The sequence below is a fragment of the Homo sapiens genome, chromosome 22 (assembly GCF_000001405.40).
Source record: "Homo sapiens chromosome 22, GRCh38.p14 Primary Assembly".
NCBI classification, from domain to species: Eukaryota; Metazoa; Chordata; class Mammalia; order Primates; family Hominidae; genus Homo; species Homo sapiens.
Genome location: NC_000022.11, coordinates 19,465,634 through 19,478,296, shown reverse-complemented (window position 1 = coordinate 19,478,296; position 12,663 = coordinate 19,465,634). Strand labels below are relative to the sequence as shown.

At 48.9% G+C, this 12,663-nt stretch overlaps 1 protein-coding gene across 6 annotated transcripts in view; it reads left to right on the top strand.

Moving 5' to 3' along the window:
- Positions 1-12,663, top strand: part of UFD1 (ubiquitin recognition factor in ER associated degradation 1) — a 29,283-nt gene that overhangs the window by 897 nt on the left and 15,723 nt on the right. For 3 of the 6 annotated variants that reach the window (NM_001035247.3, NM_005659.7, NM_001362910.2), the window contains exons 2-5: positions 2,695-2,827; positions 3,197-3,229; positions 6,489-6,610; positions 10,294-10,424. In NM_001035247.3, coding sequence (NP_001030324.2) covers positions 2,695-2,827; positions 3,197-3,229; positions 6,489-6,610; positions 10,294-10,424 — 419 coding nt within the window. Of the gene's footprint in view, positions 1-2,693; positions 2,828-3,196; positions 3,230-6,488; positions 6,611-10,293; positions 10,425-12,663 lie in introns of those variants that run through there. The other 3 variants (XM_047441486.1, XM_047441487.1, XM_047441488.1) reach the window with 3 other exon arrangements.

Genomic DNA, 12,663 nt, shown 5'->3' with positions numbered 1-12,663 from the left:
CCAAGTGTGTCACTGTCAAACCCTGGCTTATTTCTATTCTTGAGTTCATCCACTCAAGAATACCTGATATGTTCCAGGCAGTGTGCTAGGTCTCGGGATTGAAAAGGAAAGTGAGAGATGGGATCGGGAGCAGCAAAGAAGGGGCAGAAGGTCGGGTTCATGGGTAAACTGCAGGCAGGTTGTTAAGTATGTTGCCCCTTTGTGCGGATTTACCTTTTATATTCAAAGAGAAGAAATGGCTTACATAGGTTGGCTAGTGAGAAGCACTCAAGGGAAGCAAGCCCCTACCCTGTTCTGGCCTTGTTCACCCAGAAACGCTATTTCCTGTGTTATGGTTCTGGCCAAGATTTAGCTGAACAGTTATGCTGCTTAAAAGAAGAAAGACAAAAGATTGGAAATTACTGTGTTAGAGTGCCAGGGAGTAAAGAACCATCCCAGATTTTAGGCGGGAACATGCTATGTTTGCATTTTGGGAGATGGCTAATTCAGCTTGCTAATTTTGGAGTTGCTAGTAAACTGCTTTGTCAGTAGGTGGCATTCCTTCTACTAAATATATATTTGGAATCAAGTCAAGAAATTTTCTCTAATACAGATTTTTTTTTAGTTGTGGTTAAAAAAACCAAATTTTTATCATCTTAACCGTTTTTCAGTCTATAGTTCAATAGTGTTGAGTACATTCACGAGCAACAGATTTTCAGAACTTTTTCATCTTGCAAAAGTGAAACTCTACTCACATTAAACAATAGCTCTCCATTTTCTGCTCCTCACAGCCCCTGTCAATCTCTGTTCCACTTTGTCTCCATGAATTTGCCTACTCTAGGTACTTCCTAGAAGCGGACTCATAAAATATAAGTCCTTTTATGACTGACTTACTTCACTTGGCATGATATCCTCAAGGTTCATCCATGTGACAGGATTTCTTTCCTTTTAAAAGCTGAATAATATTTCATTGTATGTATATACCATACCACAATTTGTTTATTCATTCATCTGTCATTGGACACTTGAGTTGCTTCCACCTTTTAGCTATTATGAATAATTGTGCTATGAATACGGGGTGTACAAAAATCTCTTCTTGATTCTGCCTCCAGTTCTTTTGAATATATATCCTCCTGTGAGATTTTAGGTGGTTTCAGTTACCCGAGGTCAACCATGGTCCAAAAATATTAAAATAGAAACCACATTCACATAACTTTTATTACAGTATATTGTTGTAATTGTTTTATTATTAATTGTTAATCTCTTACTGTGCCTAATTTATAAATTAAACTTTTTTTTTTTTTTTTTTTTGAGATGGAGTCTTGCTCTGTTGCCCAGGCTGGAGTGCAGTGGCACGATCTCGGCTCACTGCAACTTCCACCTCCTGGGTTCAAGCGATTCTTCTGCCTCAGCCTCCTGAGTAGCTGGGATTACAGGCGTGTACCACCACGCCCGGCTAATTTTTGTATTTTTAGTAGAGAGAGGGTTTCACTATGTTGGCCAGGCTGGTCTCAAACTCCTGACCTCAGGTAATCCACCTGCCTCTGCCTCCCAAAGTGCTGGGATTATAGGCGTGAGCCACCGCACCCAGCCTATAAATTAAACTTTATTGTAGATATGTATAAGAAAATTGTAGATATGTATAAGAAAAAACATAGTATGTATAGATTTCAGTATTATCTGTGGTTTCAGGCGTCCACTGGGGATGTTGGAATGTATCCCCTGTGGATATGGGGGTGGGGGGTGGGAGGAATACTGTACTTTGAGAAAACCTTCAAATTGATACATGTTTGCTAAGCCTCATCTTAGTCTACAGTTTAAGATCTAGGATCTTATCTTTTTAATGGCATCATGTTTTAGCTTTGCTTGTTGCTGTAAGAAAGCATCATAACATAGTGTAACGTGTACCTACTTTGTGCTGTGAGAGCACGCTGGAGAGGCACTAGACCTGACCCTCAGCAGAGCAAGAGAGGCTTCCTGGGGAAAGGAAAGGATGGTAATTGGAACCCAGGGGAAGGGGTGCAACCACTGGGTACCTGTTCTTCCTGCTGCCTGGAATGTCTTTCCCTCTTTTTTGCCTGGCTCCCTCTCATAGCATTCAGGTCTTTGTGCAGAGTCCCTTCCTAACCACCTATTTAAAATAGCATTCCCAGGAGCCCTGTGTCTACTTACCCTGCTGCTTGTCTTCAGAACTGCCAGACACACATGTGTGTGTGTCCGTTGCTTGGAGTGTATATCTCTCTTGCTTTGAGTGTCATTTTCACCAGGACAGGGGTGGTATCTATTTTGTTAGTGGACAGACATCACTGGAGTGGTGCTTCCCTTGTGCTCATATCAGAGCCTGGCAGACAGTAGGCACTCAATAAAGAGATGTTTCAATTAACAAATATTGTTTAGATTAATGATAATAGGAAAAGTGTTCAAGGCAGAGGAACTAGCCCAGGCAGGAGTCTGTGGGGCTGTCAGTACAAGTCTCTGAGGTATGCAAGAGGTTGGGCCTTGATCCTGAGGATGAAGATGGGAGCATAGCCCTGAAAAAGGTTCAGGACAGGCTTGGCATGGCCTGTTTTGTATTTAGTAAGATTACATTGAAGATTTCAGTACATTGTGTTCTCTGACAATGTTTAGTAGCATTAATTACTCTGACATGTTTTGGCTTTTGACATGAAGAAATGTACCTTTGTTTTAATACTTGTTTCTCTTTCCTCCTTCTAGTTCTCTTTCAACATGTTCGACCACCCTATTCCCAGGGTCTTCCAAAACCGCTTCTCCACACAGTACCGCTGCTTCTCTGTGTCCATGCTAGCAGGGCCTAATGACAGGTCAGATGTGGAGAAAGGAGGGAAGAGTATGTGCTTGTTTTTATTTGAATAGTAACTTTTCCTGCCCTAAGTCTGCAATGCTGTAGCCTTCAACAGTACTTACTTTGCATGTGGGAGTCAGAAGCTAGTGTTACTGTGAAAATGGTGCTGGGATTTATCCCTGACTTGCTCTGTTGGGGTGGGGTGCTAATTATGGTTAGGTTTATGGCTGATAACCATTCAGTTCCCAAAATAAATTACATCAAGTAAGATTCTTCATGAAAGATCACTGGGACATTCTGGCTACCCTAAAAACAGTTTAAGGCTTTTTGTTAGATATAAAGAAACTGCATCTTGCCTTTGGTCTGTCCTTTTTATTTTTATTTTTTAATATTTCTTAAATGTTCTTTCCACAGTAATTATGCCACCCTCGGCCCTGGACCAACTCAGTAAGTATCTTCTGAGTGACTTAAGGACTTAGATAATGTACATATGGACACCAAGAGTCAGCATGGGCTCCTCAGTACATCCAGACACCAGTGCCCTTTGTCAGCATCTGGTTGTGAATTGTCCGTGGAGGGCATGCGCTGGGCTGGGAGAACCTGGGTCACAGGTACCTAGGGCGAGGCCAGGGCCCCCTGAACCTCAGCTTCATCACTGCCCTGGGTGCTTCAGGTTCCTCCTCTGTGAAGGGGGTTCCCTTTCCCTTCCTGATCACCACCTCCACCCACCCCCCAACTGTTCTCAGTATTCTGTCAGGATTAAGTGAAGGTACAAGTATCAAGTGCTTTGTACCGTGCCAGGGCAGCTGATGCCATTGGCTGGGCTCACTAGATTTTTTTCCTAAAGGAAGAATTGGTCAGCTCACAAGAGGGCGCTGTGAGCAGGTTCCTCATCCCCTCACCAAACATCTTTCCTGAGCTCCAGACCCCCATTTCTTTTCTTTTATTTATTTATTTATTTATTTTTTGAGACAGAGTTTTGCTCTTAGCGCCCAGGCTGGAGTGCAGTGGCGCAATCTTGGCTCACTGCAACCTCTGCCTCCCAGGTTCAAGTGATCCTCCTGCCTCAGCCTCCCGAGTAGCTGGGATTACAGGCACCCGCCACCACGCCCGGCTAATTTTTTGTATTTTTAGTAGAGATGGGGTTCCGCCATGTTGGGCAGGCTGGTCTTGAACTCCTGACCTCAGGTGACCTGCCTGCCTCGGCCTCCCAAAGTTATGGGATTATAGGCGTGAACCACCATGCCCGGCCCAGACCCCCGTTTCTAATCTCCAGTGCACCAATGCATCCTCAGCATGTCAAAAACTGAGCTATTGTCTTCCATCCAGAAGCCACTCCTCTTGCTGGGCTCCTGCCTCTTACCAGGAGTGAGATAGGCCCACAGGGGTTCTAAGAGTGGCCACATTCTTCCTCCCTTTTCTCTGACCCCTTATCCCATGAGAGCAACCTGGAAACCCATGCCCTAGCCCCATACTACACAGGCACAGAAAATCCCTATCATGGACAACCCAATCAAGGATGCAGTCATTGCCTTCCAGACTTAAAGAGTGTTTCTGGTGTGAATTCTTCCTGTGTGAGGCAGGAGACTGGGGTTGGCCAGGAGGACAGGTTCATGCTTGGTTTTGGGGGCCTCTGGTGGCAGCAAGCAGAGAACAGGTGCTGGCTGTGGTGTGACTCACCTCGGGCTCTTTGCCCAGCCTGACTCCAGAGTAGCAACTTGACCTCTCTGAACCTCAATGTCCTCTTCTTTAATTGGGGATATCTACAGTGTCTGTGCATCAGAAGTACTGTAGTGTCTGTGACAACCTAAGCTATCCGATTCCAACCACAAGGTGGAGGTAGCCCCTGAGCCAGCACTGGCTGTGGCTATACCCAGTGGAGGCCTCAGCTCAACCAGTAGGTCAACAGAGCTATGGAGTTCACAGTTCTCACGAAGACCCTGTCATTACAGAGGAGAGAACAGGCTCCCTAAAAAGGTCTTCCTTTCAAGTCATGCTGACCCAGGAGCCAGACACCAGGGGTGACCCTTGGCACAGGTGTCCAGAAGAGACTCAGGGGCTGGGTCATTGAGGTGTAGCTCAGATCAGTGTTGTTCAAATCTTTTAAGTGATGGGAGAAACTCTTTCTGTCTAAATCTTATAGGAAGTCCTCTAATTCATAAAATGAGGTTCTCTGCTTTTTTTGGAGAAAGTGAGGGGGTACAGAGGGACTGGGAGCCCCAGGGCACTGGGAGCCTCTAAGTCACAAAATGCAGTTTGAGAGTCAGTGGACTGAGGGACATTGGAGTCTCTTTCACTTGCAACAATCTCAGACCCTTGGCTGAGCCCAGTCCAGTTTACTGTGGACCAGCTGTATGTCAGCTCCATGGCTGTGCAGCTGAGAGGTGGACCGGGACAGAGGTCCTGGCCCCTTTACTGCCAGTGTGAGAGTCACCCTTGGTGATAGGAGGGAGTGCCCACCCTTACTGTACCTCCATGCTACTCTCAGAGGTTCTCTGTAGCTTCCTGCCCAAGCTTTTAACTTGATTTGCTTTATTAGAATTTTTAGGGAGATCTCAAATGGAATCTGCGTTACTTCCTAACACTAAGTGTGATTTTTATTGGAATATTTGTCTGAACTAACAAGCTAAATTCTGCTTTGATGGTTGAATCCCTGGACTTAAGCCAGCAGCCTTGGTTTGAATCCTGGCATCACCACTTGTGTGCTGTGAGGTCTTGTGTGCTCACCACTTGTGTGCTGTTACTTAACCTGTGGGCCTTAGTTTCCCCATAGATAAAAGGGGATAATGATAGTACCTACCTGACTGTTCTGGGAAGACTGAACAAGGGCCTTACACATGGCAAACACCATCACTACCATCAGTTCCTTCTCGGTCTTCTCCCGGGGGCCCAGTGTCTCCTGGGTTTTCCTGCCTCTTTTTGCCAGCCCTTCCTTTATGTGCCTGTGCACCTCTTGGGTCAGCACGTCACCAGTCCAGCTTACTTGCCTCTGGCCTTGCTTTCAGCCCACACCTCAAGGTCCATCAGAGAGAGGGGGCGTCCTATGTCATGACCCTGCTGAGAGCTCACACTGCCCGCTGGGCCCAGGCCCTAGGTTCTACCCCGTGTGGTGCCCCTCCCCTTCCCAACCACTCGCACACCTGTCCCCAGCCTGTCTTGCCTAATTATCCACCATTTCTGAACTGCCTGGGCTCCTCTTCCCTTCCACGCCTTTGCTCAGGCTGCCACCTCTGCCTGGATTTCCTCCCAGGTCTGCCCGCCCAGTGCCCAGCCTAAAGAACTCGGCCTCTAGGAGCCTAGCCCAGTAGCTCTGCCCCCTCCTGCCAGCTCTTCCCACAGCACCTGCAGCATCTGGTTGTGGTTTTCTTTGTTGGAAGGTTTCTACCTTCAAACTAGAAACCTTTGAAGGTCGGGATTTTGTCCAGGGCATGGTGGGCACTGAAATTATTTATGAATAAATGAATGAACACATCACTTTTTAAAATGTTGACTTCAGAAAATCACAAGTCTATGCCAGTGCTGTGTTACCAAGTTGCCAGGTTCCTCCTTGAGCCGTGCACTGTGCTCTCACAGAGGGGGATTCATCTGCCAGAGGAGTGTGGGGTTGAGGGCAGGATTGTGGGGAGGCTCCTTCTATGGGAAGGCGTGGGCCGAACAGGTGTCCCTTCATAGGAGCTGTGCCTCATAGTCTCTCTCTTATTTTCAGGCCGACTTAACATTACCTATCCCATGCTGTTCAAACTGACCAATAAGAATTCGGACCGCATGACGCATTGTGGCGTGCTGGAGTTTGTGGCTGATGAGGGCATCTGCTACCTCCCACACTGGGTGAGTGGGGCTGCCAGGGTCTCTAGAGAGCAGCCACTTAGGCAGAGACATCTCCTGCACTCGAGAGTCCTGGCCCTGGAGCAGGTGGCCCCGCCTACTCCTCCTGCTCAGCGTCTTAGCCTGAGCCGACCCAGCGAGAGAGAAGGGATCCAGAGCAGTGCACTGTGCCTTATGCGGGCTGGTGGGCTCTGGACGCACCTGTGGGCCACTGTGCTGTGGGAGTGGCCTTTTCTTTGATAGTTGCGCAGCTGAACTGTTCATCTGTGATTTCCTGGGTGAGGCGTTTTTAAAAATAATGGAGCAACAGTATTTTTTAGGTGGTCTAGTAAGTAGGGTGTTTGAGGTTTTTATGCTTTTCCCCTACTTTTAGTAGTCTGTCACAGCATACATGTTTTCAGTTACCTCTGACGTAGTCTCCCAAATCTCTCAACTGAGCTGCCATGGGAGTGACGTCTTTTTCCTTACAAGCAGGCTCTCTTTGGAAAGTTGACTTGAAGGATGTCATTGCAGATCTGGGCTGGGATATCCAGGGCGTGTGAGCCACCAGAGCCTGCCCTCAAGGCTGTACCCCTCAGAGAAGTGAGCAGAACTGTGCCAGTGCTGTAGGGAGGAGCCTGCAGCAGTGAGAGTTCCACACAGGTAGCTGTGGCCCACTTGGCTCCTTCTTCTCCTCACTCCTCTCCCCAGCTCTGGCACATTAGGGAAGTTCACAAAGGGACCTGCTTGTCCTTCTCTTTGTGCTTGGATTACATCAGGCATACTGAGAGACCCCGCAGTGAGCTGTGGGCTGGAAACTCTCAGGAGTGCTTGCTTGGCTGCCACCAGGGAGGTGGTCTGAAGCACAGCCCACCTCTCCTGCTGATGCCCTATCATGGTGGCCGCCAGACGTTCAGAAGGGATGGCCTTAACTAATATTTTCTGAGATTAAATATGAATTGAAATTCTGGCCAGGTACGGTGGCTCACGCCTCTAATCCCAGCACTTCGGAAGGCCAAAGTGGGCAGATCACTTGAGGTCAGGAGTTCGAGACTAGCCTGGCCAACATGGTGAAACCCCGTCTCTACTAAAAATACAAAGACTAGCCGGGTGTGGTGGCACGTGCCTGTAGTCCTAGCTACTTGGGAGACCGAGGCAAGAGAATGGCTTAAACCCAGGAGGCTTAGGTTGCAGTGAGCCGAGATCATGCCATTGCATTCCAGCCTGGGCGACAGAGCGAGACTCCATCTCAAAAAAAAAAAACAACAATAATATGAATCAAAATTCTGAAGGTCTCTTTCCTGCTGTAGCAGGTGACCTTGCCCATGCTGCCATGGTAGTGGCATCCTCTTCAGCCTGGGTCCCAGGGTCCTTCCCAAGGTCTGGGCCTGGCCAGTGTCTCCCCGACAAGAGCCCTGCACTCCCATTGCACCTCCTAGTGCCTGGCCTTCCCATGCTGCCTCCTCACCTCAGCTGACTAGGCCTGCCCAACCTGGCCTGTTGGGGGGCTTTTATGCCTCAAAGCCCAGATTGGCTCACCTGCCCTCCCCAGTATTTGCTGCTCAGCCCCTTGCTATTCTTGTGTTTGTCTGCAGGTGCCCCCAAGGGCCTGAGGCCACATTGTGCTCATCCGGTAGAACACCTGGTCACTGAAGCCACTCTAGGTAGCTGAAGTGTCAGGCAGTGACTACTTCCCCAGTCCCTTCTGTGGCTCACCTATAAGAGGAGGTGGTGATGCTGGGGATACACTGTATCTCGAAGGTTCTCCTTTAACCCATAGACTTGAAGTTTGGGTGGCCTCTTGTCCAAGCTGTTGGACTGCTTTAGACCAGGAAACTAATTGAACCCTTTCTCCCCTGGAAAGCCTCTTTAGGTAGCCTGGAGCTGGTTTGGGGTGTGAAGCCATCAGGCCACCTCTTCCCCTGAGCTGGCCTTCCAGCTCCTGGCATGGGCAGGCGGGTGACAGGTATACCCCATCTGCTGTCTTGGAGGGCATGTGAGCCAGTGCTTTTTCTGGGCTGGCTGGTGGACTCCATCCCACCCATGCTCCCAAGCTTCTTCAGGGCGAGCCAGCCTGGAATAGGTACTGGCCTTTTTCCTTGTAGCCAAGGCTTCGTCTGCTGACCTAGATCCGAGCCCTGGACTAGCCGTTTGTGACATGTGGGTACTCGGCTGCCCGTTGTGCTGTATGCTCTAAAATGCTGCATGGGGAGGGCCAGGCATCAGCTCCTCCTGCCTGCTTAGTGCTCTCAGGCCTCTTCCAGCAGCCCATTTCTCACCTCAAGCCCTAGTCTGACCTCTCTGCCTGTCCTCCTCACATCACCTATGGCAGTGTCCTGCCTCTGGCTGAGGAAGCCACCCCCCATCCCTGGCCAGCCTTCCCTCAGGCTTGCAATTGCAGCCCAGTATCCTTCCCCTCGCTGACAAATTTCCCACAAAAATCTACCCAGGGACAGTGCGCCTGGCCTGCGACTGGCTAACTCTGAGCCTTAGAATACTTCCTGTTAGAACATCACTCCTGGGGATGCCAGACCCCCGTTACCAAAGCCAGTCACCTCTGCATCCTTCTGTGCCTGCCTGTGGCATTTGGTAGAGTGACCACCCTCTATTTCTGCCCTTACTAGCCTGACAAGCAGCTGTCAGCGTGAGTGCATGGGGTCCTCTGCAAGCCTATCCATAGGGCCCACCACTCAGGCTTCACTCATGGCCTAGGCACGGCTTCCCAGGCACAGCCTCGGCCTCAGCATGCCTCTCCCTCCTCATGAGCTCCCTCTCATTTGTGACACAGCCCTCAGCCCCCTTTTCCCTTGGCTGTTAAAGTCACCTTCTCACTGCCACTCCCGATGAAACATTCTTGAAGGGATGTGATACCTGGGATTTGCTTCAGGGCATCTAATGTGGCTTGGGACTGGGTGTGAGGTAGTGCTGATCGATGGACTGAGCCACGACGTGAGCACTGTCCAACTGTCAGGGCTCGGTGCGTGGGAGCTCTCTTCTACGGCTCTTTCTACTGATGTATATGTCTGACACCCCTTTTAAGACGGTTTCAAATAAGACAAGCAAAATTTCATTGCAAGAGACATAGAGCTTCTGACCTGAGTCTGGACTCCCTGCACACCCAGTACTCATGGGCATTGTTTATCTCTTTCCGTCTCACTTCTCAGCCGTCGTCTACCTGGCTGGGTTGTTTAATAGAGACATGTGGAGGCTTTGTCAGATTTTTATAACCTCCTTAGCAGAGACCTCTGGGGTCTGTCACCATCTTGCAGCCTCAGCTGTGGTGGGCCATTCCATTGCCAGGTCAGCCTTGCCTTGTGCTGCTTTTGTCCTACCTCAGGTGCAGCCCTACTTGACGCAGGGCCTTATAATTTGCTTGTGGGACAGCTTGGAAGTACAGTGAGTGACTATTCCAGGAAAATGCTCTGCCCCTGGGAAGCCTGGAGCTAGTGAGTAATCCGGGCAGCCCTGCAGAGATGCGTTCACACTGTGAGCTATACAGCTTCAGTAGCACCCCTTTATTGGCCTTCTTCCTTCCACATCACTTGATTTTTCCCTCCTTCCTGACATAGTATCACGAATTACTTATCTTGGCTCAGGTTCCTCTTCCAAGGACCCAAGTAAGACGGGCCTGCCCAGTGTATAGGGAGCAGTGGTTGTGGAGGCTGCTTCATCTCTAGGAGTCTCATGTAGCCTCTTCTTCCTTTCAGATGATGCAGAACTTACTCTTGGAAGAAGGCGGCCTGGTCCAGGTGGAGAGCGTCAACCTTCAAGTGGCCACCTACTCCAAATTCCAACCTCAGAGCCCTGACTTCCTGGACATCACCAACCCCAAAGCCGTGTATCTTTTTCAAATAAGCGGAGTTCTTCTAGACAAAGGAGAGTGTGCTGGCGGTTGTTAAACATCATGTACTGTATTGAATCTGTGCCTGCTTTGGGGATCACACATTTGTGATTCAAGTTGTGATTTGAGAATAATGGGGTTCAGCTAGCACATCTGCGTGGCCCTGGCCAAGTGCACTGGGTGCTGTCTGGGCCACCTCTGTCACTTTCCAGACACTTCATGGAGACCACAATGAAGCCCTTCTTTCAGTTGGTCTGTGTCACCTGGCACAAAGCCAGGATGCACAGTATGTCCAGTGGAAGGAGGGAGCAGCTTATCTGCCTTCAGCTCCAGCCCCTTCTGTGGCTCCCTAGTACCTCCGCCCAGCTGTGCACTGGCCCGTCAACCTCACTGCATGCCAGCCTGAGAGCTGATTCACTCCAGGCCAATAGGTAGCAATGACTGCAGTTTCTATGTCACCAAGCAGAAAGCAAAGGTATCAGGTTCTAGTGGATTCTTTTTGTTCACCTCTGAACTTAAGCCAGGTGTATGTGTTGACAGCATCAGGAAGTAGGCAGTGCAGGTACGGGACGGTGCTGTGTGCACCAATCAAGATCTCTAGCTCCATGGCCCTGATTTTTCCTGTTACGATCATGGCATAAGAGTGGCCACTCCATTCTACTTCTTTTTTTTTATTTTTTTTTAATGCATACTTGAAAAAAAAAACAAACAGTCAAACAACACAGACAGATAGGAAGTTAAGAAAAGCTGCCTCCTTTCCCAGTAGCGCTCTCTCCGCATGTTTTCTTAGGAGCAAGGCACTGCTGGGTGTGCTCTGGATGCATATGGGCCATGTATATTCTTTGCTGCCTATGTTCTGGACACGATGGCCTTGTTGAGCCTCCTGTCCCACAGGCAGGGGGATGTCCTATGGGAAGAGCTAGTTAACTTGTCCTTCAGAGCTCTGACCTAGACATGCTTGTTTGGCTGTCAGTGACCAGGAATGGGCCATGCCCATTTTCTCAGGGTTTTTACATGTGTTGCAATGCAGACTTTTTTTTGAGACGGAGTCTCACTCTGCTGCTCAGGTTGGAGTGCAGTGGCACGGTCTCAGCTCACTGCAAACTCTGCCTCCCAGATTCAAGTGATTCTCCTGCCTCAGCCTCCTGAGTAGCTGGGATTACAGGTGTGCACCACCACACCCGGCTAATTTTTGTATTTTTAGTAGAGACGGAGTTTCACCATGTTGCCTAAGCTGGTCTCGAACTCCTGACCTCAGGTGCTCCACCTGCCTCAGCCTCCCAAAGTGCTGGGATTACGTGCATGAGCCACCGCGCCCTGCCCCAATGCAGACTTATCAGGTTGATCTCAGATGCTGTTTTGTCAGCACAATTAACTTGTTAGTGTGTGGAGAAAGGGCGTCACTTCCATCAGTTGAGAGCCTGGTGTTTTCTGGTCTGGCTGAGGTCTGGATGAAAGCAGTCTTGGCACCGAGCAGAGAAAGTGGGAAGCTGGTGCTGCAGCAGGTGCCAGAGTACGCAGAGGCCATATGGGGAGCCCGCCCTGCCTGCAGAGGCCTCGTGTTCTCAGCCTGAGGGCTCTGGCTCTGCTCCTCCAGCTGCTGCAGTGGAAGTCAGAGAAGATGCCCTGGCAGGGTCACTAGAGGAGTGGAGGGAAGGGCACTTCGTACCGTGGCACTTCATATTTGGGAGCAAAGAAAGCATCCACCACATAAGGCGCTTTTCACAAAGTTGCTCTGGTTCTGGAAAGCTGTTTGACCAAGCGAGGTGAACCTAGATAGCCTCACCCTTTCACCCTCAAGTTGGACTCACAGTGGCAGGCTCTGGAGCCACATTTCATGTGACCTTTTTATGTAAAGTCCTTCAGCAAATTGATGAGGAAGACATGGCAAAATATTCCACATGAATAGACATTTCCTTGTGTGGGCATTTGGGTTCTACAGTTTTACTGTTATAAAAAGTATTTGCTGGTTTCTTTATTTTAATTTCTATTAACTAAAGTTATCAGCTCAAAAGATAGAAACAACAGAAGTATAAATGAAAGCATCTTTGATTTTGAGGAACTTTTGAGAGGACCTATCTGACTCATTAAATCTTTTTTGTTCTTTAGTACTCCCACAGGATTTTTTAAAATCCCATGGTATAATTTGTATACAATAAAATGCACACAGTTCAGCCAGTTTGAAAATGTATACACCCATGTAATCAGAACATTTCCATGTCCCCAAAAGGTCCTT